At 42.6% G+C, this 26,573-nt stretch overlaps 2 protein-coding genes across 12 annotated transcripts in view, besides 3 other annotated features; one reads left to right on the top strand and one right to left on the bottom strand.

Moving 5' to 3' along the window:
* The window catches only part of MTMR7 (myotubularin related protein 7), a 116,558-nt gene that overhangs the window by 73,576 nt on the left and 16,409 nt on the right, over positions 1 to 26,573 (top strand). For 3 of the 5 annotated variants that reach the window (NM_004686.5, XM_047422407.1, XM_047422408.1), the window contains 2 exons: positions 8,494 to 8,626; positions 26,375 to 26,484. In NM_004686.5, coding sequence (NP_004677.3) covers positions 8,494 to 8,626; positions 26,375 to 26,484 — 243 coding nt within the window. Of the gene's footprint in view, positions 1 to 2,623; positions 3,965 to 8,493; positions 8,627 to 26,374; positions 26,485 to 26,573 lie in introns of those variants that run through there. The other 2 variants (XM_011544693.3, XM_006716414.4) reach the window with 2 other exon arrangements.
* Positions 2,734 to 3,933: an enhancer, noted in NCBI's record as "CDK7 strongly-dependent group 2 enhancer chr8:17193352-17194551 (GRCh37/hg19 assembly coordinates)". NCBI's record gives its function as "activates an origin of replication core promoter dependent on BRD2, BRD4, P300/CBP, MED14 and CDK7 cofactors, with strong dependence on CDK7, by STARR-seq in HCT116 cells {active_cell/tissue: HCT116}" and the evidence as "EXISTENCE:reporter gene assay evidence [ECO:0000049][PMID:35650434]".
* Positions 5,002 to 5,296: a silencer, noted in NCBI's record as "tiled region #2048; HepG2 Repressive DNase matched - State 1:Tss". NCBI's record gives its function as "represses a minimal TATA promoter and a strong SV40 promoter by Sharpr-MPRA in HepG2 cells {active_cell/tissue: HepG2}" and the evidence as "EXISTENCE:reporter gene assay evidence [ECO:0000049][PMID:27701403]".
* VPS37A (VPS37A subunit of ESCRT-I) overlaps positions 6,321 to 26,573 on the bottom strand; it is an 86,498-nt gene continuing 66,245 nt past the window's right edge. For all 7 annotated transcript variants that reach the window (XR_007060695.1, XR_007060696.1, XR_007060697.1 and 4 more), the window contains one exon: positions 6,321 to 9,506. The gene's annotated coding sequence lies outside the window, so the exon portion shown is untranslated. The remainder of the gene's footprint in view (positions 9,507 to 26,573) is intronic.
* Positions 13,112 to 13,281: an enhancer, noted in NCBI's record as "experimental_102346 CRE fragment used in MPRA reporter constructs". NCBI's record gives its function as "activates a minimal promoter by MPRAs in K562 erythroleukemia cells, with activity observed for the introgressed 8:17184089 variant allele {active_cell/tissue: K562}" and the evidence as "EXISTENCE:reporter gene assay evidence [ECO:0000049][PMID:34662402]".

Raw genomic sequence — 26,573 nt, 5'->3', positions numbered from 1 at the left:
GCTGTTCCTTCCTAGGTATATAACCAAGAGAAATGAAAACTTATGTCCACATAAAAACTTGTATGTGAATATTTGTTCATTATTAGTAATAGCCTAAAATGTAAATAACCAAATGTTCATAAATGGAGAATGGATTTACAAAATATGGTATGTCCATTCAGTGGAATATTATTCAGCTATAAAAAGGAATGGACTATGGATACATACTGCAACATGGAGGAACCTTGAAAGTGTCATACTAAGAGGAAGAAGTCTGTCACAAAGGAATCATGAAATGCTTTCAACAGGCAATTTCAGAGCTATTGAAAGTAAACTGATGGTTGCCGAGGGCTGGGGGAAGGGAGAGAAATGGTGAGTGACCGCTAATGGGTAGTGGATGTCTCTTTAGGGTGATGGAAATATTCTAAAATGAGATCATGGTGATGGTTGCACAACTCTGTGGGTATACCAAACACCATTGAGTCGTATGCTTTAAATGGGTGAATAGTATGACATGTGAATTACATGTCAGTGAAGGTATTAAAAAAAGAACATAGGAAATAAACATTACAACAGGAAGGGTAAAATAGAACCAGCAGCTCAAGTCATTTAAAAGTGTACACTGTGGGGAAGAGGTAATTATAGACACGGTCTACACTCATTGGTGATCCCAGAAATCACGAGAACTGCATCCTATCCTTTGTGTGGATACTCAGGCCTTGGTGATTTTCACGGATTCTCTGAACTTCATGTCACCAAGTATTATGATTTGTGTCCAGGATAATGGAATGTGATGTTTTCCTAGAGTGAGATCAGTGCCCTACTCGTCCCCTCATCTCAGAACCATCCAGTCTTCTTCGGAGCAAAGCACACAGCGGGAGAGAAGTGTGTGGAGTTACTACTCACGGATGCCAGATGAGCGAATCAGTCCTGGAGATCAGTGATGAAACCGATACCACAGCTAGATCACATTCACATTCTACTAGATTATAAGTAAAGGGTCCCTTCCTTTTAAATTCTCAGAGCACGACACACAGATAAAAGTTTCAAACTGAAAAAAAAAAAAATAGCTCCTTTGCTGGAAGATTTTCACTGAAACATACCAGAAAATCTCTGGCTTTTACTGTTCTCTGTCAATTTGTGCCCTTCTCTCTGGCTCATTGTGTTTAAACCCTTCCTTCTAATGTGACTGCCTTCCCACCTCTTCTTCGTACCCTTTGTTGAAGCAAGGTGGGGCTGTTTTGAATTTCCTAATAGTTACAGATGATTTAATGATTAGCTGCTTAGATATACTGAAGACAAGATAAGAAAAGGAAGAGAAAAGACGGGGGCTTTACTGAGGAGAGATTGGGAAGCCTGTTTCTTACCCTGTTTTTTTCAGATTTAAATAAAGCCAGACAGATTCACCTACTAATTTTAGGACCAGTGATCCAGATATGTACTGTGTTGTGTAAACCTTCTAGGAAACGTGGCAGCTGTAGAGCCAGGCATATTCCAGATTTAAAATAAGTTAATCCAAAGGATTTGATTTGAAGGGTATATTTAGTGCTAAGTGTGTTTACTCTCAGCGATGAGTTTGACACTGATCCATTAAAGAAAACTGGGGTTTCGTACAAGCCATGCCCTCTTCTCATATTTATCCATGCACGCACACTTCACGTGAGTTTTAAACTGTTTACTTAGAGCTTTCATTCTTTTAAAGACTGTGTATGTTGATTTTTGTTCCAGAGTGTGTTAGGCCTCCTTGGTAGCCAGGAGACTGAGTTTGCTCTAGAAGGTGTGGACCCTGGCAAGCAGGCACTTCTCAGGTTTGCTCACAGGTTTCATTAAAAAGAAAAAGGATTAGGAGCTGACCTGAATCGTTCCTGGCCTTTGAGCAAGGCTAGCCCCACATGAGAACTTCCAGAGCTGCCTGTTCAGATGAAAGCCTCAGAATTACTTGTTGACATTTTTTGGGAGACACCAGCCTGGGCAACGTAGTGAGACCCCCATCTCTACAAAAAACAGAAAAAAATGAGCTGGATGTGGTGGCATGGGCCTGTAGTCCCAGCTATTTGGGAGGCTGAGGTGGGAGGATTGCTTAAGCCCAGGAGTTTGAGGCTGCACTGACCTGTGATTGTGCCACTGCACTGCAGCTTGGGCAACAGAGTGAGACCCTGTCTCGAAAGAAAAAGAAAAAATTGGGAGACAAAGTCAATGAAGTCTTCAAGCATGTATTGAATGTCAATTCCAAAAAAAAATTATACTCTTCAGGGCACGTATTAGTGCTAGGGTGTGGCGCTTTAAGAACATATGAAGGTGTTGTCGCAGTCTTCGCTGAATTTTCAAATGAGGGCTAACTCACTGCAGCCTTGTTCATGACTTTGTCATTAATTTGTTCTGGGACTTTGCTGAGCTTGTAAAAATGGCAGGCACTTTTTTTTTTTTTTTTTTTGGGACGGAGTTTTACTCGCCCCCAGGCTGGAGCTCAGTGGCACGATCTCGGATCACTGCAACCTCCATCTCCCGGGTTCAAGTGATTCTCCTGCCTCAGCCTCCCGAGTAGCTGGGTTTACAGGTGCCCGCCACCACGCCCGGCTAATTTTTTTGTATTTTTAGTAGAGACGGGGTTTCACCAGGCTGGTCTCGAACTCCTGACCTCAGGTGATCCGCCCTTCTCGGCCTCCCAAAGTGCTAGGATTACAGGCGTGAGCCACGGTGCCCAGCCAAGGTACTTTCTCATTTAGTTCTTTTAAGAATCCTGGCAAGTTAGGAGGGTTTTGTTTTGTTTTGTTTCTTTTCATGGATAAGGGCTAGAACTTAAAGAGGTTAAGTAATTTGCCCAGGGTCTCACAGTTTACATTCCAGGATTCACATCCAGGCTTATCTAACCCCAGAGCCCACACTCGCTCCGTTTGACCATGGTGTTTTTTCTGTTTACAAAAATTCTCCAGCAGAGCCTCGTTTCCACGTGGAAGCTCTGTGGGGTTACCACCTCTGAGCACACGCCTGACGAGGCCAGAGAACCTCCCAGCAGCTCCTCTGACGCAGCCAGGGCCAGCGGAGGGGGTGCTGAGGCATGAAGAGAAGGGCCGAGGGCGAGGCAGCGCTTGCCTCCGTGACGCCTGGCCTTTTGTCCTTGCTCCTTCTCCAGAGACTTTGCTGTGGTTCTGCCCCGTGATTTCACCAGGTCAGCGAGGTTTTAGTTGTGTAACAGGATGTCACGTGGGATGTTTTTCTTTTTCTCTGGAATTAGTGAGTAGGTGGTTCCTACTCGCTGAGTCCTGGGAGGGGTCACCTAGGAAAGTCAGTGGTAGAGATGAGGGGTGCTTGAGAGAGGGGAATCGGGGGTCTCACACTTGCTGGTGGCCGTCATGGCAGCAACCAGAGTGAAGAGAACTGGGGCGAGGGCAGTGTCCAGTGGCCGTGGAGCAATCTGTGCTCCCTCCTTTTGGCAGGGCAAGGATGGAGAAATTTCCTGTGGGTCCAGTGGAGCCTGAGGAAGGAAGTTGAGCATGAGCCATCTTGCTTCAGCATTCCTAAAAGGGCTCAGCCGCCGGGTGTCTTCAGCTGTAGGTGACTGGGGTGGGTGTGCTGGTGAGGGAAGTTGAGCGTACTGGAATAGACTCAAGCCAAGGCGCATCTCCTTTTTCAGTGAGATGTGTACTCCCTACCTCCAAAAACCTGCATCTATACCTTGGGAGATTGAGCACTTGGACGCTATGCCAGAGAGGGAAGTGGTGACCAACTCATGTCAACCGATGAAGAGAGAATTGGAACCCTGCCGAGCTTTCCAAAGAGAAATTTACCTCTTCTCTTCTCCCTCCTCTGCACCCATCCTCCCAGTACACAGATAGGGCCTACAATAAAGAGGAGAGGGAGGGTGGGCCGGAGCAAACCCCTCAGCAGTCCACACAGCCTGTAAGGCGGCGGGGAAGAGCTAATTTTGCGTCACATACGGGACTGGAATTCTAAGTTAGGCCGGATGGAGATTTTCTATCTGAATGTAAGTAAACCTGATGCTATTAAATCTGCCCAAGAGGTCCTTAGCGGGTAGAAAGGAGGATTTTGACTAGCACAGTTGTAGAGAATAGTTGCAAGGAATAAAATCAACTCACATGTTTGTGTCTGCACCACAAGTGAAGTTTCTTCCTGTAACCAGTTATATAGGAGGGAGAGAGAAAGACCGTCATTTGACCACCTGTGTTAGGGCAAGACCAAGTCCCCCTCCTGCCAAGATCAGCTTGTACGGTCATTTCCCAACCATGTCAGCGTAGGCACTGTCATTCTTCAGGCATTAAATGTAGCTGTGGAAATGGTAGACTTGAGGACTAAGGCAGTGACCAGGCTGACCTTTAACCTGATACCAAGATGAACACAGACTGAGTTTTTCTACATTTGATTGATTCAGGGTTAGGGTGAGAATCTCATGCTGTTTCTTCACAGTCTTGGCCTGCTCTCCCCGGGCCTCATTCTGTTATCCAGTCATTTATGCAGTTGCTCAGCCGGTCAGTAAATCTTCCTTGAGTGCCTGTTCCATGCCGGTTTGAAGGATACGGATGTGGCCATCAATGAGACACTCAGGGCCCCTCGTGGAGCCTGCGTTCTCCGTCCCTCCTCTCTGTCAGCGCTGAGGTTTTCCGTGCCCATCCCTCTCTGCTCGCTCCTTATTCCTGTGCATCTTCTCTGTTGTGGACACTAAATCAGTCTCCAGTTTTTCAGTTAGACTTGCTCAAAATCCTGGAGTTGCTCTCCGCTGCCACAGGTGGAGCCTCAGTTCCTTGGCTGGGCCTGTTGTAGTGGACCCTCAGTGCTTTCTAGCCTTCCCTCTTGCTGTAGCTGCCACACAGGAACCTTCGTCTTCACCTGGAGTGGTTCGCTCATTGGTTATGTAGAATGCCCTCCCCTCTCTCTCCATCCTTACAGATTGTGTTAAAGTCCAGCTCTAGCTTTCTCTCTTAAACAAAACGTTACCCCTGATCCCCAGGCCGACAGAGTTTCCTTAGATTTCAACTCCTGTCATTGTCACTGTCTCTCCCGTTGCTCAGCTCTTGCCCAGTCCTGGTGGATGTCATCTGGGACCACTGGGTGCCATGTGCTTTCCTTTCCATTGTCAGTTCTAAGCTGAAGGCAACAGGAACAGCTTCTTTTGATTCCACTTAACGCCTGGCCATAGTAGGTGTCTATACAGTGTTGACTTTGCTTCATTTATTAACTTCTCTGCACCCAAAGACACTGATATTATCAAACAGCAAATGAACCTTGTGTTAGGAAACAGGGTATTTTTGCAGTCCTACTTTTCACCTATCTGTTGTGTGTTTCTTAAACATGAATTGGAACTGAAGTGACTACCTTTATTGCTTTATCTACTTGAGAACTTTTAGGACCTGAAATGCATAGCTTTTCTTTAGTTGTGAAATGGAGTTCTCAGTCAAAGGGACAGAGGACCGTATTTGATGTAGTAATAGCGATTTGTTTATGTAAGGGATGCCGTATCTTACTGCGCACACATACACGTAAAATGTCCAAGATAACATTGAATTTTTATTAATTGTAAAACCGTATCTCCTGCTTTGAGGGTTCAGCTTTTGCTACATTATCAGGATAGGTCCTGTAAAAAAGGTGGAGATCCTAAGAAATTACACTTCAGCTGGTAGATGAAATATTGCCACCTTCTGTTCATTCTGAGAAGTGCACATTGATGTTCAGGAGGTTATTTGTGTTGCTGCTTTGCTTTTAAGGGAGATTACCAATCAGTTCTCCCAGATCAAGGATAATCAGCTATTTCATAATGTGTACATGGAGTCTTAATTATAGGTTAAAATAATATTTTAATTTTTGTTTATGTTTAAAAAATCTATTCTACATTCTAACTTTTGTAGACTGTGTAGTCTGTCTCTCTTTTTTTTTGTATCTCTGCCTGGGATAACCCTCCTGTCCCTTGTGGGTGAAGGAGGAGAATGATCAGTAACATGGGGTCTTGCTCTGTCACCTAGGCTGGAGTACAGTGGCACGATCACAGCTCACTGCAGCGTTGACCTCCCAGGCTCAAGCAGTCCTCCCACCTCTGCCTCCCAAGTAGGTGGGACTAGTCACATGCCACCATGTCTGGCTAATTTTTGCATTTTTTTGTAGAAATGGGGATTTGCCATGTTGCGCAGGCTGATCTTGAACTCCTGAGCTCAAGAGATCTCCCCACCTCTGCCTCCCAGAATGCTGGAATTACAGGCATGAGCCACTGTGCCTGGCTGGTTTTTCTTTCTTATGCTTTTTAAAAGAGTATCTCTGTGGTATGTGGTGAATAGGCTTCACTTGAATTAGTCAAGATACAGCATAAACGTAAGGTTCATGTCACGTAAGGATACTTTCAAATCTCCTATTAATTTTATTTATGATGCTTGTTATAAAGGATAAACCAACATCTTTGAAAAATAATTATACAAAGCAGTGATATTTTATTAGTTTTGGAAGAACAATGTCTATAGGTAATTTTACAAAAGTTTTCCCTATAAAATATTTATACTTCTTAAAGTGTGAACATAAGTTGTCTTAAAATGCATTATTTTAATATTTTTTTCTTGATTAAGGCCAAACTCTTTATTCTCGTAGCATGCCTGGGAGAAAGATGACACCCTTTTGTGGATGGGAACAGTGTCCTGAGGGGCTGATGTGGCCCAGCTGATGTCACATAAGCCACGTCATGGAGCAGGGCTGCTATTGAAATGTGAGGTGTCTGCCAGCCTGGGCTCCTATGGCAATGGCTTATCCTCTGCTGTTTTTTTCACTTCTAATATACTTTATTTCTATTATTTCAATTACAAACTTCATATATGCTCTCGGTATCAATGAAAGATTACAGGGGCATCCAAAGTAGTACTGATGGCATTCTCCTGTCGCCTGCCATGCTGTCTTTCTGCTGTAATTGCTGCCAAATTGGTACCGTTTTCTATACATTTTTATTCTGCTTGATAAACACGCAAAAACTTAAATACATATCTATAAGTTGGTTTTATAAAAATGGATGATTGTATGAATATTATTCTGTAGCTTACTCTTTTCACTTGTCATGGGCCAATGCCAAGTCTATGCACAGAGGGTCTCTGACTTAATGGTTCGACCTATATGATTTTGTGGCTTTTTACAATGGTGCAAAAGCAATAGACATTCAGAAAGTGTACTTCTCTTGTGATGCTGGGCAGCAGCAGCGGCAGCAGCTCCCAGTTTGCCATGCACTTTTCACTTACGGCATTTTCAACTTCCAATGGGCTCATCATGATATAACCCCATCGTAAGCCTCAGAGCATCTGTCTGTCTGCTGTGTGATCTGTGCCCTCCTTCTTGGTCACTGCTCGCAGGTCAGGGCATGATAAACCATTGTGTATCCTGTCATTGTCCTATTGAGATAGTCATGGGTTTTCAGCTTTTTTCAATAAACATTCTTGGGCATCTATTTTTATGTGCTGGTACTTTTAATTTTGTCAGACTTTTAGGAGATCTGTGTCAAAGAACATATGTGTCTTTAACTTTAAACTTAGCTCTTTTAGCTTTTAAAAAGTACTATTGTGCACTGTGCTTTTAAAAGCAGATATTTTTTTCTGGTGGTGAGTTCTCAGTGTAGGTTCTCTGCCTGGGTTAGCCCTCCTGTCCTTGGTGGGTGGAGGAGGAGAATGGTCAGCGAATGCTGTTTTCTAGGATGTGATGACCTGCTTAATAAAATAGCAAGAATGTTTACACATTCTAGAAACCGATGCATTTCCCAGCTAAAGTAGGACTTGTCCCCTTCTTGATTTTAGCCACGCAGGCTAGGACAGTGTTTGGATTTAATAAACTTCTTCAGATACCACTGTGACTTAACCTAGTTTGCACTTGGAGACCCCAACTTCTCATATGCAAAATTATAATAATGAAAGTGATCAAAAAGCCCAATAGATCTCTAGATTTAAATAAGGCGGCTGGTGGAAATGTCTCTGGAGACTTGGTTGCATTCCCTCTCTTCATTTTATTCAGTAATTCCTGCTCAAGGTTTAACTGGGCATCTGAGGGATCTTGTGGGCAAATTAGAATGATGCAACCATTCCTATTTGATAACGTGTTTATTGGCAATCTAATACTAGAAGATATAATAATGTATAGAGCCTTATTTTGACAGCTGTTTCTGCTGATATTCTTCTGCCAACCTACCGGTTATGTGTGGTATTAAATTGGACTACTTGGTTCCATCACAGAATTCCACATTCAGTTTGGCATCTCTGACGGGGACTGCAAGTGACATCTCCAGAAGGGTTTATCAGTAGACTGCTTTCCAGCTAAGAAAATGTGACCCACACTGACAAATTCATGCTGTTGAATATAAGCTCAGCAGGAGTCCCTGAAGCTATGTAGTTCAGTACAAGGTTGCAGTGATTCAAATAAGCGTATTATGTTTCCGTACATCATTCTGAATGCTTTGATTGGGTATCCATGAAATGTTTTGGTTGTTTCATCATTGTTTCATCAATGTAATTGATGACTGTTCTGTTTTGCTGACCACTGCAGCTTAATGCAATGGCAAATCGTGCTGCAGGGAAAGGCTATGAGAATGAAGACAATTATTCCAATATCAAGTTTCAGTTTATCGGGATAGAGAACATCCATGTCATGAGGAACAGTCTGCAGAAAATGCTGGAAGGTAAACCATTTCCTTATGCACAGCATTAAAATGCAGTTAAGTATTTTGATGCCAAAAGGGAATAAGATAGTCTTGATTTTAAAATGTTTTTACATAGGTGTGATAATTTGGGAAGAATATCATGTTACAGTGGCTTTTTAAACACTTAAGAACGTTTCTCTTATTTGTAAGCATCACTGTGATGTGGTTTTGTCGCTTGGTGGTTAGCAGTCAGGGACTCTACAATGGTACTGAACATCTAAGGTCAAAGTGCACAGGGATGTTTTTGTTTCTTCCTCATAATGTTAGTTTGATCCCCATTCAAGGCCATTTAGGAATAAGGCAATCCTACATTTAAAGCAATAACCAACCATTCTTGTATGGAGATCAGGCTCAAAAACTGATCCTTGCTGAATGGCCATTCGAAGGGAGAATATCGGAGGAGCTGACCCTCATTTCTAAACAGCAGCCACCACAATACACATGCATGTAACCTCCCGCCACCTCCACACACACTTTGACATATATGGCGAACATGACAAGACACGTACCCACAGACTTATATACTCGTGTGGACAGGAAATTAAAGAGATGGATTATGTAATAGAGAAGAGTTATTCATGTGGCCAACCAGCCATATGCTGATGAGCAGAAATTCTGCATTTCAAGCAAAACCAGCTTAGTCCGCTGCTTCTGCTCCTTGTGATCACAGTGACCCCAAGAGGAATCTGTCGCTGTAGTCTACCACTTCCGGCTCTGCGAACTGGGAAAAGACAGAGGATGCAGAAACCATGGCCTTGTGCCTTGGCTGTCCATGCACTGTCTGCGCTTCTGGGGAAAGCCCTGGAGAGCTGGAGCTGGGAGCCCGGGAAGTGGGCTGTCTTGATGGGAAATGCAGGCTCTGGAATGAAGAGGGACAAATAAGGTGCTGAATTATTTTTTCCAGGAATCCACGTTTGCTCTCAGTTACTTAAGCCGTTCTTCGTTTAATCAGAACACCCTAACGTTGGGGTTGGAGAAATCTGAGTGTCACAAACAGGCCTAATTTCCATTCTGTTTCCTGGACTTTCTGGTTCATCTCAGTCATTATGAAACTTTGAACACATCAGTTAACTTGTTTGGGGCTGCATTACCTGCTGCAGAATGACAGGATTAGGCCAATACTTTCTATGGGTCTTCCAGCTGTGACAGTTTGATGCCCCTCTGTAGCAGAAATCCCTTCCTACATCTGAAAACATCTCAGCCCCAGAGCCATTTCCATCTTCTGTACATAATTGGCAGTCAGTCTCTCAGGTCACAGTGACAATACCTGACATTGTCTCAGGTCACAGTGATCATACCCTGGGCATGATTATTTGAGCAGCTTCAACTTTTGGAGATTATCATGCAGAGTTTGGCTGTTCCTGCTACAAACTATGTTTTTTATGTGTTGAAAAATTGGACTCCTTGGTACTGTTATTGGAAAGGCAGTCTGACTTTAGTCTGAAGACTGTTCATCATTTATCAGGACCCTTAAGTTATTTAAATTTTTTATTTAGTCATTTCATAAGATGACCTGGAGAACATAAATATTCTTCTTTGCAGAAAATTGCTCCTACCAGTGCTGATAGCATACACATTTGGCTTTTGTTTTTAAATGGGTAATCTTTGGTTTCTCGTCAGGAACCATTTCTCCTGCCCTTATGCCTGTGGTCTGACACTACTGTTTTCTAAAGAACATGCAAACTGACCAAGTTCTGGAGGGCAGCTGTCTGTTTCATAAGGGAACATGGTGCTTGCACGTAACTTTTCCAGCTACGTGCAGTGCAGTAGGCTAGGATATCTTTCTGGATGCCTGTACGTGGTCTTGACCAATGTTTGACTATCTGTTTTTACCGAGTAAATTATAAACCATTGCGGAGGCTGAGCTGATGATGAAGTGTTGCAATCAGACCCACCTTCTAAGGCTTTTCCTCCTTCAAACAGCTATCCTTGGCATCAAAGAGATATGAAGGCTCATACTACTGGTCACTTGGTAGGCAGAGGAATGAATGATGCGTTTCATTCATGATTATTATTTTCTGAATTATTTTTTACTACTGTTATGGATATAATCAGAATAGATTCTGAATAACAGAAAAGTAAAATTGTTTGCGTTCTGGTTTCAAACAGCTGTCTGTGAGCAAGAGCTGCAAGGTATTTCATCAGAAACTGAAATCTAGGACCAAGTTCACATCCTGTGTAGGTCCTCTATAGAGATGATCTAATTTTAACTTCCATTTGTAAGTCTCAACCAAACTATTTTTGTGGGATCTGTATTTCGTAAGGAGAGAAAATGATGCCTTTCAGTCACATAGCAAGCAATTTTGTTATTTAATGAAGTGATTTTCACGATAGTTTCCCTTTTGATAATATAGATACTGGCTTTTCCCTCAAGTAATAAGAGGATACCCTGTATTTTCTTTTTTTATTTAAAATTTTTAAGTTCTGGGGTATGTGCAGGATGTACATAAGTGAACGTGTGCCATGATGGTTTGCTGCACCTGTCAACCCATCATCTAACTGTTAAGCCTAGCAGGCATTAGCTATTTTTCCTTATGCTCTCCCTCCACTCCCCCACCCCCGCCAACAGGCCCCAATGTGTGTTATTCCCCTACGTGTGGCCATGTGTTCTCATTGTTCAGCTCCCACTTTTAAGTGAGAACATGTGGTGCTTGGTTTTCTATTCCTGAGTTAGTTTACTGAGGATAATGGCTTCCAGCTCCATCCATTAAAACAGTCCGTAGAAGAGCCTGGAATAGTCCCTTTCAAGGCCAGCCTATTATTATCAGCAGAGGTGGAGCTTTTACCTCTTAGGCATCCTGGGTGTTGGGGAGGAAGTGGTGAAGAGGAAGGTGGAAAGGTGTATGGAGTTACTTGCATCTCTCCACTTGTTGAGGGTGTGCCCCACTGGGACACCCTTCATATCTGCCCTGAAGGTCAGCAGGCACTGATAGGAAAGAAGCAACAGGGACATCTTCCTCCTCTGCCAATCAACTTGCCATCTTTTGGAGGTCACCTAGAAAATTTCACTTTCTCCCCACGAGTAGCTTTGTGCCTGCCTACCTTCCACGTGACTGTTAGATTAATACTGTTGGTCATTGTTTCACTGACCACTTATTCATCAATGTATTCATTAAACTAAAAATTGAGCAACTGCTCTTTGCCACACTTCATAAGTATTTTCATTTAAATGATTGTATGAGATTTTCACAACAATTGTGTGCAGTATGTGGTATTATCTGTACTGTATAGATGAAAAAGCATAATTTTTTAAAAGAGTAAACAGTAAGTTGAAATAAACATGTAGATAAACATGTAAATTTGCTCTGGTAATTAGAGAAATGTAAGTTAAAACCTCAAAGTACCATTTGCCACCCAATTTTTTACAAATTAAGATATTCAATACTCAAAAGAATGTGGTAAAACTAGTGCTCTAAATATTTATCGTATTATTTAAATTGGCTTAGACAGACATAATATATTTGGTTTAGAGATAGTTTTTTTTTTTACCAGGTTTCTTCCTCTTAGGGACTAATCCAAAATACGTTTTTAAAAAATAAAGATACAGGAAGGGCATGGAGGCTCATGCCTATAATCCCAGCACTTTGGGAGGCTGAGACATTGAGGATTACTTGAGCCACAGGAGTTTGAGACCAGCCTGGGCAACACAGTGAGACCCTGTCTCTACAGAAAATTTAAAAAATAAAAAAAATCAACCAGGCGTGGTGGTGTGTGCCTGTAGTCCCAGCTGCTCAGGAAGCTGATGTGGGAGGATCACTTGGGCCTGGGAGGTTGAGGCTGCAGTAAGCCATGATCGTGCCACTGGACTCCAGCCTGGGTGACAGAGAGTTAGGCTCTGTCTCAAAAATAAAATAAGATATAGACATGCCTATGTTGATAGTAGTGTTTTATTTATAATAGTAGAATATTGGAAGCCGAATGAATGTCTAACAGTAGTAGACTGATTAATTTTACTTCACCTTCTTGATAGAAAAGTTTGCATCCATGAAAAATACTAAATGTGAAGACTATATGTACTAACATGGGAGAATATGTATAATGTAAGCAAAAAATTCAGGTCGTAAAATTGCTTGCATATTCTTATTCACTATACAGTAAATCATATGTCTGAAGAAAGACTAGGAGAGCATGTGCAGAATGGTCACTGCATTACCAAGGAAAGATAAGACTGATGTTATTCCCTTTTTCCCTCTTTATTTACAAAATACTTGCTATGGTCGGTATATTCCTTTTTTAAAAAATGATATTTATTATCTCATGGTTTCTGTAGGGCAGGAGTCTGGATGTTTCTCAAGCATAAATTGGAACTCAGGGACCCTCTTAGCATCTTTCAAGGCTGCAGTCAAAGTGGCAGCTGGGCTGCGTTCTCATCAGGAAGTTTGAACAGGGAAGAACCTACTTCCAAGCACTTATGGTTGTTGGCAGAATTCAGCTGAGGGCCCCACATGTTGGCTGTTCACAGCATGGCAGCCTGTTTCTTCAAGGCCAGTGGGAGTGCCTCTCTCCAGTTACAGAGTCTGGTGTATTACACTTTTAAATTGTCTTTTAAAAACATCCTTTCCAGTATCACGTTACAAAGCAGTATTTTAACCTAGCACTTTTTATCATATTACAGTGATCGTTGTTGAGTAGTGATTCTGATGTAAGACAAGCTCACAGCTTGTGACCACAAGGATCATTATATGAACTGCAAGGATCATTATAACCACCTCACATCGTAATGAAGATACGTTTATGGAAGGCTTACTATGTATTGGACACGGTTCAGATTTTTTAAGCTGTATTTACTCAAGTAAACCTCATTGAAGTTGTTGTTGCCACTCTTATCTTCATTTTACGGATGAGGAAATTGAGGCACAGAGCCTGAGAAACCTGTTTCAGCTCAAAATAGTAAGTGGTAGAACCACCATTTTTACCTACTTACTGTGAGTGCAGATGCCTCACTCTTAACCACCAGGCTTTTCTGCCTCTCGAGGTAGTGGGTTGGAATGGAAGGTGCCCTGGCCTCAGTGTGTGAAGTCCTAGGTTTGGGTTCTTGATTGAGTCTCTGCGTAAACTTGAACAAATCTCATTTTCTGTATTTGTAAAGCAATGTAAGCAACATATCTTCCCCACTTTAATTCATGATCATTAAAAGGATTTCTTGCAAACTATAAAGTGCTTTCCAGTGTAAGGTGGGTATGCTTTCTCTTGGGAAGCAATAATGTATTTGAAAATAAGCACTCAATGAAATGGATACGTTGATGGGCTGTAGGTGAATTCAGTCAGCCAGGCAAGTATTTGGTAGGCCCCATGCCTTCCTATGGGTACATTTGCTGAATTTCTTTATTCAAAAGACATGAAGTAAGAGCACAGTTTCAGAAGTGTTTGTCTCGTGATAGGGTCTGTGTGCAATCAGCGCACGTTCATCAAAAATGATTTAATAAACAAGACATAGGCCTTTGGGTATTTTCTCAGCAAGTTGTTCTGTGGACTTGCAAATCTTAGCCTGACAGTGGAGCAGGGGAAGTGAGCCCAGAGCATGTGGGACGCAGGCCCCGCGTCAGCTCAGGCATGTGGGCGATCGTACGGTCAGGGACTGAATGAAAGGGGGCCAAGCAGATCCATTCTAAAAGACTGGAATCTTTTTAGCAGGCCTCAAAATAGAACCACTTAAAAAAATGTTCCCTGACATGATGGGCATTGACTGTGGAGAATGTTTTGTGGCAAAGTCAGGTGGCCCTAGAGATGATACCCGATCTGTTCTTCCACGCAAAGGTTTTGAGGCCTGATGGATTGAAATCTTCATTCGGTGTGGAAAGGATGGTTGGAGGCAGAGCACTTGGAGTTGTCGTGGGAGGCACCATCGTGGTGGGTATGACGGTCACATGTTGGATGCCTGCTCTAGTCTCCCTGCCAAGGTGCCTTGGAGGCAGTCTAAAGGGAAGAGCCCCGGACACACCCAGCTCCAGTGGTTTCTCTGAAATAGTTCTCTCTGCTTGGAGAGGAGAGGCTGTGGCTGTCGGTTCCGATGTCCCTTTTGCTCGACACATTCTTCCGTACCTCATGTCTTTATGGAGTGCTGGCTAATTCAACCTTGAGGAAATGGAAGATGGACTCAGCCCTTTGTAGATATTGCAAATTTAAGCTTTTCATTTAAAAGTATTTCTTTTATCACATTACCTGCAAATTTATGCTGTGAAATTCTACCAGATGTGAGCTAATGAAAAGCTGTAAAGGTTGGTCCTTCTCCAGCTTTCTGTAGTCTCAGTTTTTAACCATTATTAATTTCCTCAGATTACTTAGCTATTGGAGGAGATAACCAATAATAACCTGAAAATCTAGTCATTTCTTTCTCAAAATTTGGCACCTTGGCCTAGGTTTCCACATAGAAAACCCATTTTCCCATTAAAGTGGAAATAGGTCGCTCTACATGGAAATAGCAGTTTGTATGGCCTATTAACAAGTGTTCTGCTAGACCAGCAGCCTGTTAGGCTTCACTGGCTATCGACATGGTCATTTAGAAGAAGGAAATGGATCAAGTATGTGTGCTTTTGCCTCTCTGGTGTTGTATGAGGATTTCAAACACAGCTGCTCAGGTGCTGGATGGGATCTGCCCATCTGGACCGTCCAACACTAAGCGCAGAGGCAGAGGCTAGAGGAAGAGCATGGATGCATGTGCGGTGGAATGGATTCCAGCTCAGTTATTTACTGGCTATGTAACCATGGATGGCCTGGGAAACCTCTTGAAGCCACTGTTTCCAATCTGAAGATGGAGAGTGCATCTACCCTGTAGGGTAGATTATGCAGAGCCTCAGGCACAATACCTGCTTGTAGTAAGTACTTAACACACAGGAGCCGGGACATTTATCGCAGACGCTCATCTATTCATCAGACAGTTACTGAGAGTGTTCTATATGCCAGGCATTGGATAGACAAGTGCTTCCTTCATTTATTCTGAAAGAAGTAACCAATTTTGACCTAGAGCAGAAATCATGGCAGGAAGGAAAGATCTTGCTTGTTTATTAGTGATGTCACTGAGGGCCTTCCCTGGGTAAGTCACATTGAATGTTTTAACTGGATGTCAAAGCCAAAGCGTTTGACATTATCAAAGGGACAAAAGAAAAGAAGGTTATTTAATGAGAGAATAGTAGTTATATTTCTCTCAGCGATGTTTTATTTTGCAGTGCACTGAGACAGTTCAAAGATTAATTTTAAAATGTTCACCTTCAGAATTATTGTTCTGTTAACCAAGATGGCAGATTTTCAGAGAACTAGGAGAGCTTCAAAATGAGTGCTTGTAGAAGAAAGTGTAGCCCATCAAACTCAAGACAGTTGTGGCTAATGTTAGTGATAAAAGGAGCTTTCTCCATAAGGCTCTAGGTGGGGTTTGGCAGTTCGATATTTGCTTGCCAGTGACAATACAGTCTCAAAGTTCATAGGAGTGTTGGTCCTGGAAGCTTTCTCAGCTGGCATGAGGTGTGTGGAATGACCCCCCACCCCTGCGGCCTCTGCTGCAAGTGCTGCTCATTTTACCACTTGAGTTACTGGCAGCCACCATCTCAGTCTTCCGGGATTCCTGGCCTCCTCTCTAGTGCCTACCACTTTACATCCACGCCGGACTTTCCAGCCTCTCAACACCCCATCTTTTCCCAGTGTCGACTTCTCTTGTGCCATTTGCTTGGAGTTCCCTGTTAGATTTTAGCATCCCTTAAACCCTACCTTCAGTTTGGTTCCTGTTCATCCTGGCTCCGTTTGTATATTGACTTTTAATTATTCTCTATTTTTTAGTGAAAATAATATGGAAAGTGGAGTCAAGGGATGTAGATTTCGACCCCAGTGTATTTGCTGTGTTGCTAGCATCTGAGCCCATTACTCCTTAATAAATCAAGATAATTCTGTTGGCTGGGTGTGGTGGCTCATACCTGTAATCTCAGCACTGTGGGAGGCTGAGGCAGGTGGATAACCTGAGGTCAGGAGTTTGAGACCTGCTGTCCGACATGGTGAAACCCCATCTCTACTGAAAATACAAAAATTAGCTGGGCGTGGTGGTGTATGCCTGTAGTCCCAGCTACTCAGGAGGCTGAGGCAGGAGAATTGCTTGAATCCGGGAGGTGGAGGTTACAGTGAGCCGAGATCACACCACTGCACTCCAGCCTGGGCGACAGAGCAAGACTGTCTCAAAAAAAAAAAAAAAAAGATAATTCAATCCACTCTAGATGGGAGGTTGTGAAGGTTCATTAAGATGAAAGCACCAAGCCCCATTATTTACATATGGCAGATGTAACAGAAATGGGCACACACATACATATATTTTTAAAATAAGAGAGAGGGTCTCCCTGTGTTGTCCAGGCTGAAGTGCAGTGATGCAACTGTAGCTCACAGCAGCCTCTGACTCCTGGGCTCAAGTGATCCTCCTGCCTCACCCTCCTGAGTATCTGGGACTACAGGCGTGCACCTCCACACCCAGCTAATTTTTTATTTTTATTTTTTGTAGAGATGGGGTCTTGCTACATTACCCAGGTTGATCTTGAACTCCTGGGCTCAAGCAATCCTACTGCCTTGGCCTCCCAAAGTTCTGGGATTACAGGCATGACCCAATGTGCCCAGCCACATGTTTTTTATTTGTTGCAAAGTTTTACACACCTCTGCAGTTAATACTCACTTTTCCTTACCACGTGTTAAACCTAGGATAGTACAGGTTACCATGATACACTGTGAATTTGTCTTTAGACACAAAAATTCACATTCATATATACTAATAGCACATTATTCTATGAACTTGCTGCTTGATTTTCTTTAGGCCATTGGTAAATAGTATTCTGGAACACATGGTGATGAGCTTGTGTAGCCTAAACACTTCGCTCGTACAGGCCATAATAAAGTCCTCTTTGAATGGCTTCACCTGGTGGATGTTCAGTGGAGGGACATTATCATCATTTTGCCAGTTCTCTGAAGACTGTCTTATGGATCTTGGCTTCATGACTCCAAAATGGGAAGAGGACAGAGCCAACAGGCAGAACTCAGACAAGTGCTGGGCTGGTAATCAAGGGAGGGCTGTATATGTTTCAACTTCAGATCTCAGGGTACAAGAAAGACCAACCCCACAGGGTTCAAATGGAGACTTTTTCTGCACCCTCACTGACCCCACCAGCAATTGCATAGGAGAAAATAAGAGTGGTATAGGAAATACCTAAGGCAGATTATCTGAGGCTTATTTTCTTCTAAGTAAATTCCACATTTGCAGAGGTCCTAAAATTATATCTTTTGTCTTTGCTTTTTTATTTTTTTACTGTAGTTTATATATGTTTGTGACATGTAGTTGTCCTTTTATATAAAACAAATATCACTAGACCTGGGCATGAAACTCAGGATTAGTAAGCCCCATTCTCTGCAATTTGTGGCATATGTCTCTGATGTCAGCTGAAATGAACTTTGTTCAGCAAAATGGTTTGTAAATATTGGTTTGGGTTTGGCAACAAGAGTGAACAAATAAGTATTTCTGCCTTATCCTGAGTTTATCCAAACAAACCCAACAGTTTTATATTTAAAAATCCAGGCGCTAATCGCTTTGGTCTCAAGTGTATCCCCATCTGCCCATGTCTATTAATCATCTGCAGACCTCTTTGCTTTTCACACTGCCACTCAGCACACAGGGGAAGAAAACACCCTCTCAGTGGTTAACTTTGCTTGAGAAACTGGTGGGGTTATTTTACTTAGCACACGCAATGTTAATGCTCCTGAAAACAGAAATGTTGAACAAGAAGCCTTGTTAGTGCTGACATGGTGAGAGCCACAGCAGCCTGTCCCATTGCTGAGAGCTAACTGGACAGAGAAGCGTGGGGACATTCTCTCTGGCAGGACATTCTAGGGCCTGGTCCTGTGGCCATCCATTCCTCTCTTGCTTTTGGCACAGGCCATTTCCAGGTTAGCTGGCAAGCCCAGTGTCTTTATTTTTAAACTTGCAGTCATTTCCATGCCTTGTGGGAAGAGAAGGTGGTGAAAAGGATCTTTTGTTCCTGGGCTAAGCGTCAGAGCTTAGATGCCAAGGTATTCCTCAGGCCCCCTGAACTTATAATCAACGAGAATGCTAACTAGCCCTAAGCCCTATAATAACAACTGGAAAGTTTGGCCTGTTCAGTAAAAAAAAAGACTGCAAGAGAATGTTATCTATGGAAGGCTTGGAGGAATCAATTGCATCCTGAGACTTCACGCAGTGGAATGTGTGTATTTTAGGATTAAGTTGAACACTTTGGGGCATGGCCTGGGGTTGGACAGAAAGCCCAAACAGCAGGCGCCCAGGGAGTGGTGAGAGCTCATGGAGGGTGCTGGAATTTGCCATGCTTTCCACTGGGCCGTGTTTCAGGGCCGCGTGCATAGGCAGAAGTGAGCCTGATGCTTGGAGGGCCTGTCTGGTATTGCTGGGCACTGTCACAAGGCATCAGATCTCCAGAAGGGCCGAGCTTGCTCAGTTTTAACTCGGGGCTGGCACTTGGCCTTTGCATCAGATTGTGCTGTCTTCCAATTGGGTCCATGCACCCCTGAATTCACAGGAAGACTTTTTGAATTGCACCCTGGGTACATTACTTTATGGAAATTGGCTTCTAGATCATCAGCTTCTGTATGTCCTCCTTACTACGATTACATGACCTGCCTCTCAGAATGCTCCTGGGGCCAGCTTTAAGCCAGCTCTCCCTTCTCAGCTCCCTTCCCAATTGCCTTGTTGCCACCTTACAAAAAAAAACATACCCTTTACCACACCCTCCGTCTTGCTATCATGCATCATCTCAGGGTGTGTGAGGGAATATGTAGTTTCATATTTTATTTTAGAGGTACATGTGCAAAAATGTTTGAAGACTTTTGATCAGATTCAGCTTCCTTGAGCAGTCTAAGTCAATACTGTGCATAGAAGTAAAATGCAAGACACAAGTGCAGAAAACATTTGGAATTTTAAACTTTCTGGTGGCCACATTAAAAGTAAAAAGAAAATCTCATATGTTATGTAAATATATATATTTATATTATTAATTTTCATAATGTATTTTATTTAACCCCGTCTATCCCAAATGTTATTTCAACATTATCAGTATAAAAAGCTAGTAATGAAGTGTTTTTGCATTTTTTGTGTGTAGCATGCCTTTAAAATTTGATTCATATTTTACACTTACAGCATATCTATCTCAATCCTGATCAGACATATTTCAAGTGTTTCGTAGCCACATGTGACTAGTGAGTCCTGTATTAGGGCAGCACTGTTGTAAGTGATAGAAAGCACAACCTTTAAGCTGATGGTATTTGGGAACCAAGATTGGTTCCTGCTGAATTATGAAAAAAAACCAACCTGAGGTTGAGAGGCATTAATTAAGAGCCAGACTGGAGCCAGACTGGAGCCTCGTCTCACCACGTATCCATCAGCTGGGAGATGCTGGACAAGCACTTAGCCTCTGTTTGCATTGGTTTCCACAATCAAGAATGAGAATAATAAGTGCCTTCCTCAGAATGATTGTTTGAGGATTGAAAAGCTAAAGCTAATCTATATAAAGCATAGTGTCTGGTACCTGGTATGTAAGTGTCACTATTATTATTATTATTTCTGGTAAAACCCACCAAGGTAGCCATGATGTGGTGGCAAAAACTCGAGGTTTGTCTCTCAGAAGACTTGCATTTGAGATGTCTTTCTGCTGTTGATCACTTCGTGCCTTAACTTTTCGGAGCTTCAGCGTTGACATGTTTGAGTGAGTCTAACAGCTCCTTCCTCCCAGGACACCCCTGCTGGAGGCACAGATAATACAATGTGTATCATAGCTACCATTTTCGGGAATCTTCTTTATGCCAGTGTAATGCTTATTGGTATTATTTCATCTTCACAACTGTTTGAGGAAGGTGTTTTTATCCCCATTTTATATTTGAAGACAGCGAGGCTCAGTAACTAGCCCAGGTTACCATGTTGAGCATGGGCAGAGCTGGAGTTTGAGTGCAGCTGTGTCTGCCTCTGAAGCCCTTAAACATTGCTACGTGCTATTGCCCATGCGTATATCATGATTATTACTCAGACGTATGGTTCAGTTCACATAATACTAAAATCTAAGTTAAACAAGGAGGCCCTCCTATTTCCCCAAGATGGCAGAGTAAGCTAATGTGAAATCCCTGCTGTTAAAAACATTTGGAAGTGTCGGTGAGTTCGATCAGGGAAGCAGGACAATGAGCAGTGCTCTTGTTTTCAGGAGACGTTGGAGATGTGAGGGTGTAGGGCTGGGTGCCTGGAAGAGCAGAGGACAAGTCACTGGTGAAGGCCTGCAGCAGGGGCTGGAGAGGATGCCTGTGGAGGCTGCTTCTCCTGTGTCAGCTGTCCCTGGGGGGCACAGAACTGGCCATCAGAGGCAGGGGAGTGAGGACAGATTGGAGTGGGCAGGGACAGCTTCATCAGCTGCCACTTCACGTCACCTTCCAAACATGCACAATACCTGTAGCAGACCCTAACCTGGAACCATCCAGACAAGAGAATCTCAGGAAACCTGGCTGTGAATTAGCTGACATGATGCGGTAGGACCCCACTGCAGTGGCCAACAGCGATTCCTCCTGGAACCACAGGAAGAGCGAGTCCAGACCCATCGGGAACACTATCCGTTATGTTTGTGGGAGCCGTCCATCCTCCTGCTGCAGTTCCAGTAACCTAAAGCCTGTTCCAGATGACTGTTCTATCATATCGGGGTCTTGGGGTGCTCATCCTGTACCTTTTTTCCTCTGCCTGCTAGCCATTATCATGAACGCTGTTCACTGGTGTGCTGTAAACTTGTCTTCAGCCCAGCTTTTTCTGTGGACTCCACAGAACTGTGGAAGCGCTGCTCCTAAGCAGCATTTGGTGTACGTCTGCTGGGTGTCTGTGAGATTCCCAGCCCGAGCATGATAATTCCTTATCTTGGGGGCTTCCGTGCATAAGGAAGGTGTGTTCGGATCCCAAACATGTGTGAGACTAGGCCCAGGGTTTCAGCATCTCAGGAGAGATTTTTGTTTTCCTCATGCAGGGTCCAGGCAGAGACTGGCTTCCCATCATCATCCTGAGTGCATGAGTGGATTTTTTTTAACAGCTCAGTTTGATGTAGGGAGTCTCAGTTCCAGCTTCTGCCTTGCACAGACCCAAAGGAATTTCTTGTTTCTGTTCCAGTTAAACACAACATATAATAACTTACCCACCTCCTCCTGACTTCCCACTGAAATGAGAATGAAGTGGAAAAAAAGGCAAAAATACAGAAGGACGGGAGATTGAAAGAGGAGGTCATGGAAACAAAAATATAAAAGCTGCAAAATAAATGGATGAGTGATAAGTAATGCCACAGACTAGAAAAAAAAGCTGCAATTTATGGCGGAAGTATGAGAAACCCCAAAGTAAGCTAAATAGAAGTGCAGATCCTTAGACAATCTCTGGAATTCGAGCCATCAGGTATCTCTGAAACGAGTAGTAGCCGAATGTTTGCACGAGAAGCAGTTCATTGGGTCCCAGCCTCCTTCCTCCCCTGCACTGCCTAGTGAAGCCTCTTTCCACACTTCCACAAGAGAAGATGGTGATACACTTTCTGGAAAGTCAACCTTTCTGGAAACGTTGACCGCAGGGACTCTGGGATCAGGAGTACCAGGCAAAGCTGGAAGAGGGGATGGGGAATTCCAGGCCAAAAACAGGGGTTAAGTGAAAGTGTAAGTATGGAAGAATGAGACCCATGGTTACTGCCCCAGCTGTCCTCTTAGGACACTGGCATCCAACGTGATGCACTCAGGTGTTCAGAAGATTCCATGCCGGGGCCTACAAACATCGAAGACAAAGGACTCGCAGATGTTACATTGGCCAAATCCCCCATAGCAAAGCTTGGCAGCTAAGAAAGCCTGCCCATGCACACGGCACACGGCACTGCCAGCCAGCATCCTGTGTCTTGCTCTTACATGTGAATGGATAGGCAAAAATTAGCAGAAAACTGAGGAAAGCTCAACATGCAGGACAGAGACCACACCCCCACAACACACACACATATAAGCAAGCAAATTCTAAAAAGTCTGGAAAACAACATTCAGAGAAGAAAACAAAAACTGCCATTAATATTCTTAGAGAAATATTATAAGATTGGCAAAACTTAAAGCATCAGCATTACCAAGTATTAGTTGGGATATGGGAAAAGGAACTTTCCCAACCTACTGGTGAGAGCATAAACCACTGCAGCCCTTTTCAAGAGCAATTTGGCAGTAGAGTCATCCCTCAGTATCCAAGGAGAATTGTTTCCAGCACCCCCACCCCAGCCCCCATAGATTCTCAAATCCACACACGCAGAAGTCCCTTACATAATAACATGGTGTATTTGCATATAGCCTATGCACATCCTCCCATATATTTAAAATCATCTCTAGATTACTTGCAATACTTAATACAATGTAGGTGCTGTGTAAATAGTCGTTACACTGGATTGGTTTTCTATTACCATTATTTTTTGTTGTATTGTTATTTTTATTTTTTTCAAATATTTGTGCTCTGTGGTTGGTTGACTCCAAGGATGTGGAACCCGAGAATACAGAGGGCCAACTGTGCATGATAGAGCTGAAGACTTAGGAACTCTATGACCCAGCCCATTTCACTTATAGAAATCCAGGTACAGGGAGACTTTCCACAAGGAGACTGTAGAAAGGTTTTTTTTTTTTTTTACTGTACTGTTTGTAAATATTGAAAAGGAGGGAACAACTGTCAACAGTAGGGGGATGGATAAATAATTTAAGATATAGAGTGGAATATTATATAGCTGTTAAAATTAATGAAATTTATTTACATAATATGGATATCTAAAAAAAGTTGGATAAAAATTGCAGACTATAATATATATGTAAATTTTAGTACCTATAAAATATATATATTATTTGAGAATAATAGTAATAAGGGCTAACATAAATAATAACAGTTTGATACAGAGGCTATTATTACCATTTTACAGTTGAGGAAACTGAAGGACAGAGAGGCTAAGTAATCTGCCCAAGCCCACATAGCTAGTATGTAAGTAGTGAAAGGACAAAAAGTTCTTGGGAATATTAACAATCTTCATAGGAAAGAAGCAGGATGACACGAAAACACGAGACTTTATTTGTAACTTTATTTTTTAGAGATAGGATCTGGCTCTGTCATCACCCAGGATGGAGTGCAGTGGCAAGATCATAGCTCACTGCAGCCTCAAACTCCTGGGTTGAAGTGATCCTCTCAACTCAGCCTCCCAAGTAGCTGGGACAGTAGGCATGTGCCACTCAGTCTCGCTCATTTTTTCTCTTTTTTGTAGAGCCTGAGTCTCACTACTTTATATAGGCTGTTCTTGAACTCCTTGACTCAAATGATCCTTCTGACTTGGCCTCTCAAAGTGCTGGGATTACAGGTGTGAGGCACTGTGCCCAGCCTTTTTTCTGTTTTGTTTTTTTTTCTTAAGAGACATCTGGAGCAGTTGTGGCCAATCTGGATGTCTGTTACATTATCATGTTTTTAAAGACTTTTTCTTTTTAAGAGCAGTTTTAGATTCACAGCAAAATTGAGCAGAAGGTACGGAGAGTCCCAGCTAGCCCTGCCTGCACACATGCACAGCCACCTGCATTATTCACATCCCCGACGGAGTGGTACATTGTTGTGATCAGTGCACCTACATTGGCACATCGGTATCACTCAAAGTCCACTGTACGGTTCCCTCTTGCTGTTGGACATTCTGTGGGTTTTGACACGTTTAATAAATGTAACCACTGTCGTAGTTTTCTGCCCTAAACATTCTTGTGCCCCACCTATTTATTTCCCTCACAACCCTAACCCCTGGCAGCCGCTGATTTTTTTACTGTCTCCGTAGTTTTGCCTTTTCTAGGAGGTCATATAGTTGACATCATATAATATGTAGCCTTTTCAAGGAAAAGTTGGCTTCTTTCCCTTAGCACTGTGCATTTAACTTCCCTCTGTGTCTTTTCATAGCTCATCTCCTTTTATCACTGAACAGTATTTCATTGTCAGGACATACTACATTTTAAACTTCATATGTTTAAATATTGTATAACTTTTAATGATTAAAACTGTAAGCTTGGGAACTCTCAGCCCACGGCTGACTACCCAAGGGCCACAGGGCTAATATATAGCCATAGATTCTGTGAATCATTGTGTGTATTTTTCACTGGCCTTCCACTAAGCACCCTCTCATTTACCGTTCTGCATGTACTTTATCAGACACATAGTGTCTTCCTGCCTGTGATGCTGGGCCTGAGGTGTGCAAGGGGCAACACTGTGACCTTAGAAAGGTAGTGCTCTGAACCAGAGCGAATTCAAAGGGCTGTCCCTTCACCGACTGCATATCAGGTCTTCAGAGCTGTGCTTCTAGCTCAGGGCAGGCATTTGGAAGGAAGATTTTGGAATCTTGCCTGAACATATTCATAATATGTTTTTCTTAGGTTGGGTGTTTTGCTGGGAATTTTGGTGTTATTTCCTTCAACACTGTTGTCATCTATGACTCAGAATTTAACTACTTGTGCTTTTTTGTGTGTGGCTTTTATGCTGCAGGAAATCACAGTGAATCCTCTTATCTGCATTCTTGGAGGCAGGGCATCTGATAAATTAATATTTTTGTTAATGCTGCTATGTGACCCATATGCACAGTGCTTTCAAAGAGTTCACAAAGTTGAATCTGGGGGTTTACAGTTGGAAGGATATAATTTATACACCTTCCCCATTTTAAAAATGAAGAAATTGAGGCTCAGAGACTGGAATAACATGTGCAAGACTACACAGCTCATTGCCCATGGAGTTGGGGGTAGAAAAATGGGCTCCCTTTTCCCTATGTGTGTTTACTGCATCACAGAGAACAATAAAATAAAAAGAAATCTATGATTTCTTGATTGAATTTCATTGGTTGATTGATAAGACTCCTCAATAGGGCTTTATAGGTCTAAACCTCCACTTTGGATTGCCGTATTTGTGATATGTACTCAGAACACTAGCTCTGAAGCTTTTTAATGCTTTACGTTAAATAAAAGAAGCTCCTGAGGTGAAAGTTGGTGGTTTATAATATTATAGAGGTGTTTATACACCTGCCTTAGTTGTGTAAATATAGATACCACTGGGATCCTAGGTTTTCTTCATTTTCACTCAAAGGGAAAGCCTCTACCCTGATGCTCTAGAATTGGATCAGAGGCATATGTGTTATTTTTAAGCTTACAGGCCTTACTCCCATTGGGTGGGGGTTATTGGCAAGAGGAGTTTGATCATTTTCATTTAAGAAATTTAGGATCGCTCTGTCTTGTGTTTTTACAACAGTCCTAATCTGAAGTGGTTGGGTGACAGAAACTTCTAAGTGGGTAGGTGCTACACTTAGTTATATGATTTTTTTCCTCATAGCACTCCCAATTCATATTCCTTAGTGGCCCATTTTTAATTACTTTGCTGGAAAGGCAAATCGATATTTTCTGCCAGAACTCTTAATGATTTTCATTAATATTAGGATTTCAACCTTACATATATATAATACTTGTAAACAAGTGCAGCATTCCCTGTGACCAGAGAAGGTAGAAAAGCCTTACTTGAAATGGTTCCATAGAATCAAGTTTAGTAAACGTGGGTATTTATTTTGACTTAAGGCTTGCTTCCAGAAAATACCTAATACAACAAAGGAATCATTAACAAACTACCTATAAAACATGATCATATGTAAAATGAGAGAGTACCTTAATTTTGCTTTTATAACATGATTTATCTTGCAGTGTGTGAACTTAAATCTCCCTCCATGAGTGATTTCCTGTGGGGTCTGGAGAACTCTGGCTGGTTAAGGCACATTAAAGCCATAATGGATGCAGGAATCTTCATTGCAAAGGTATGCAATTGCAGAGAAAATAAATTAAGGGACAGATGAGCAAACCACTGACTTCAAAATGGGTATCCCTCTGCCATGGGCTTCCCTGT

The sequence above is a fragment of the Homo sapiens genome, chromosome 8 (assembly GCF_000001405.40).
Source record: "Homo sapiens chromosome 8, GRCh38.p14 Primary Assembly".
NCBI lineage: Eukaryota > Metazoa > Chordata > Mammalia > Primates > Hominidae > Homo > Homo sapiens.
The sequence above is the reverse complement of the archived record's forward strand: the minus strand, read 5'-3'. Positions and strand labels throughout refer to the sequence as shown.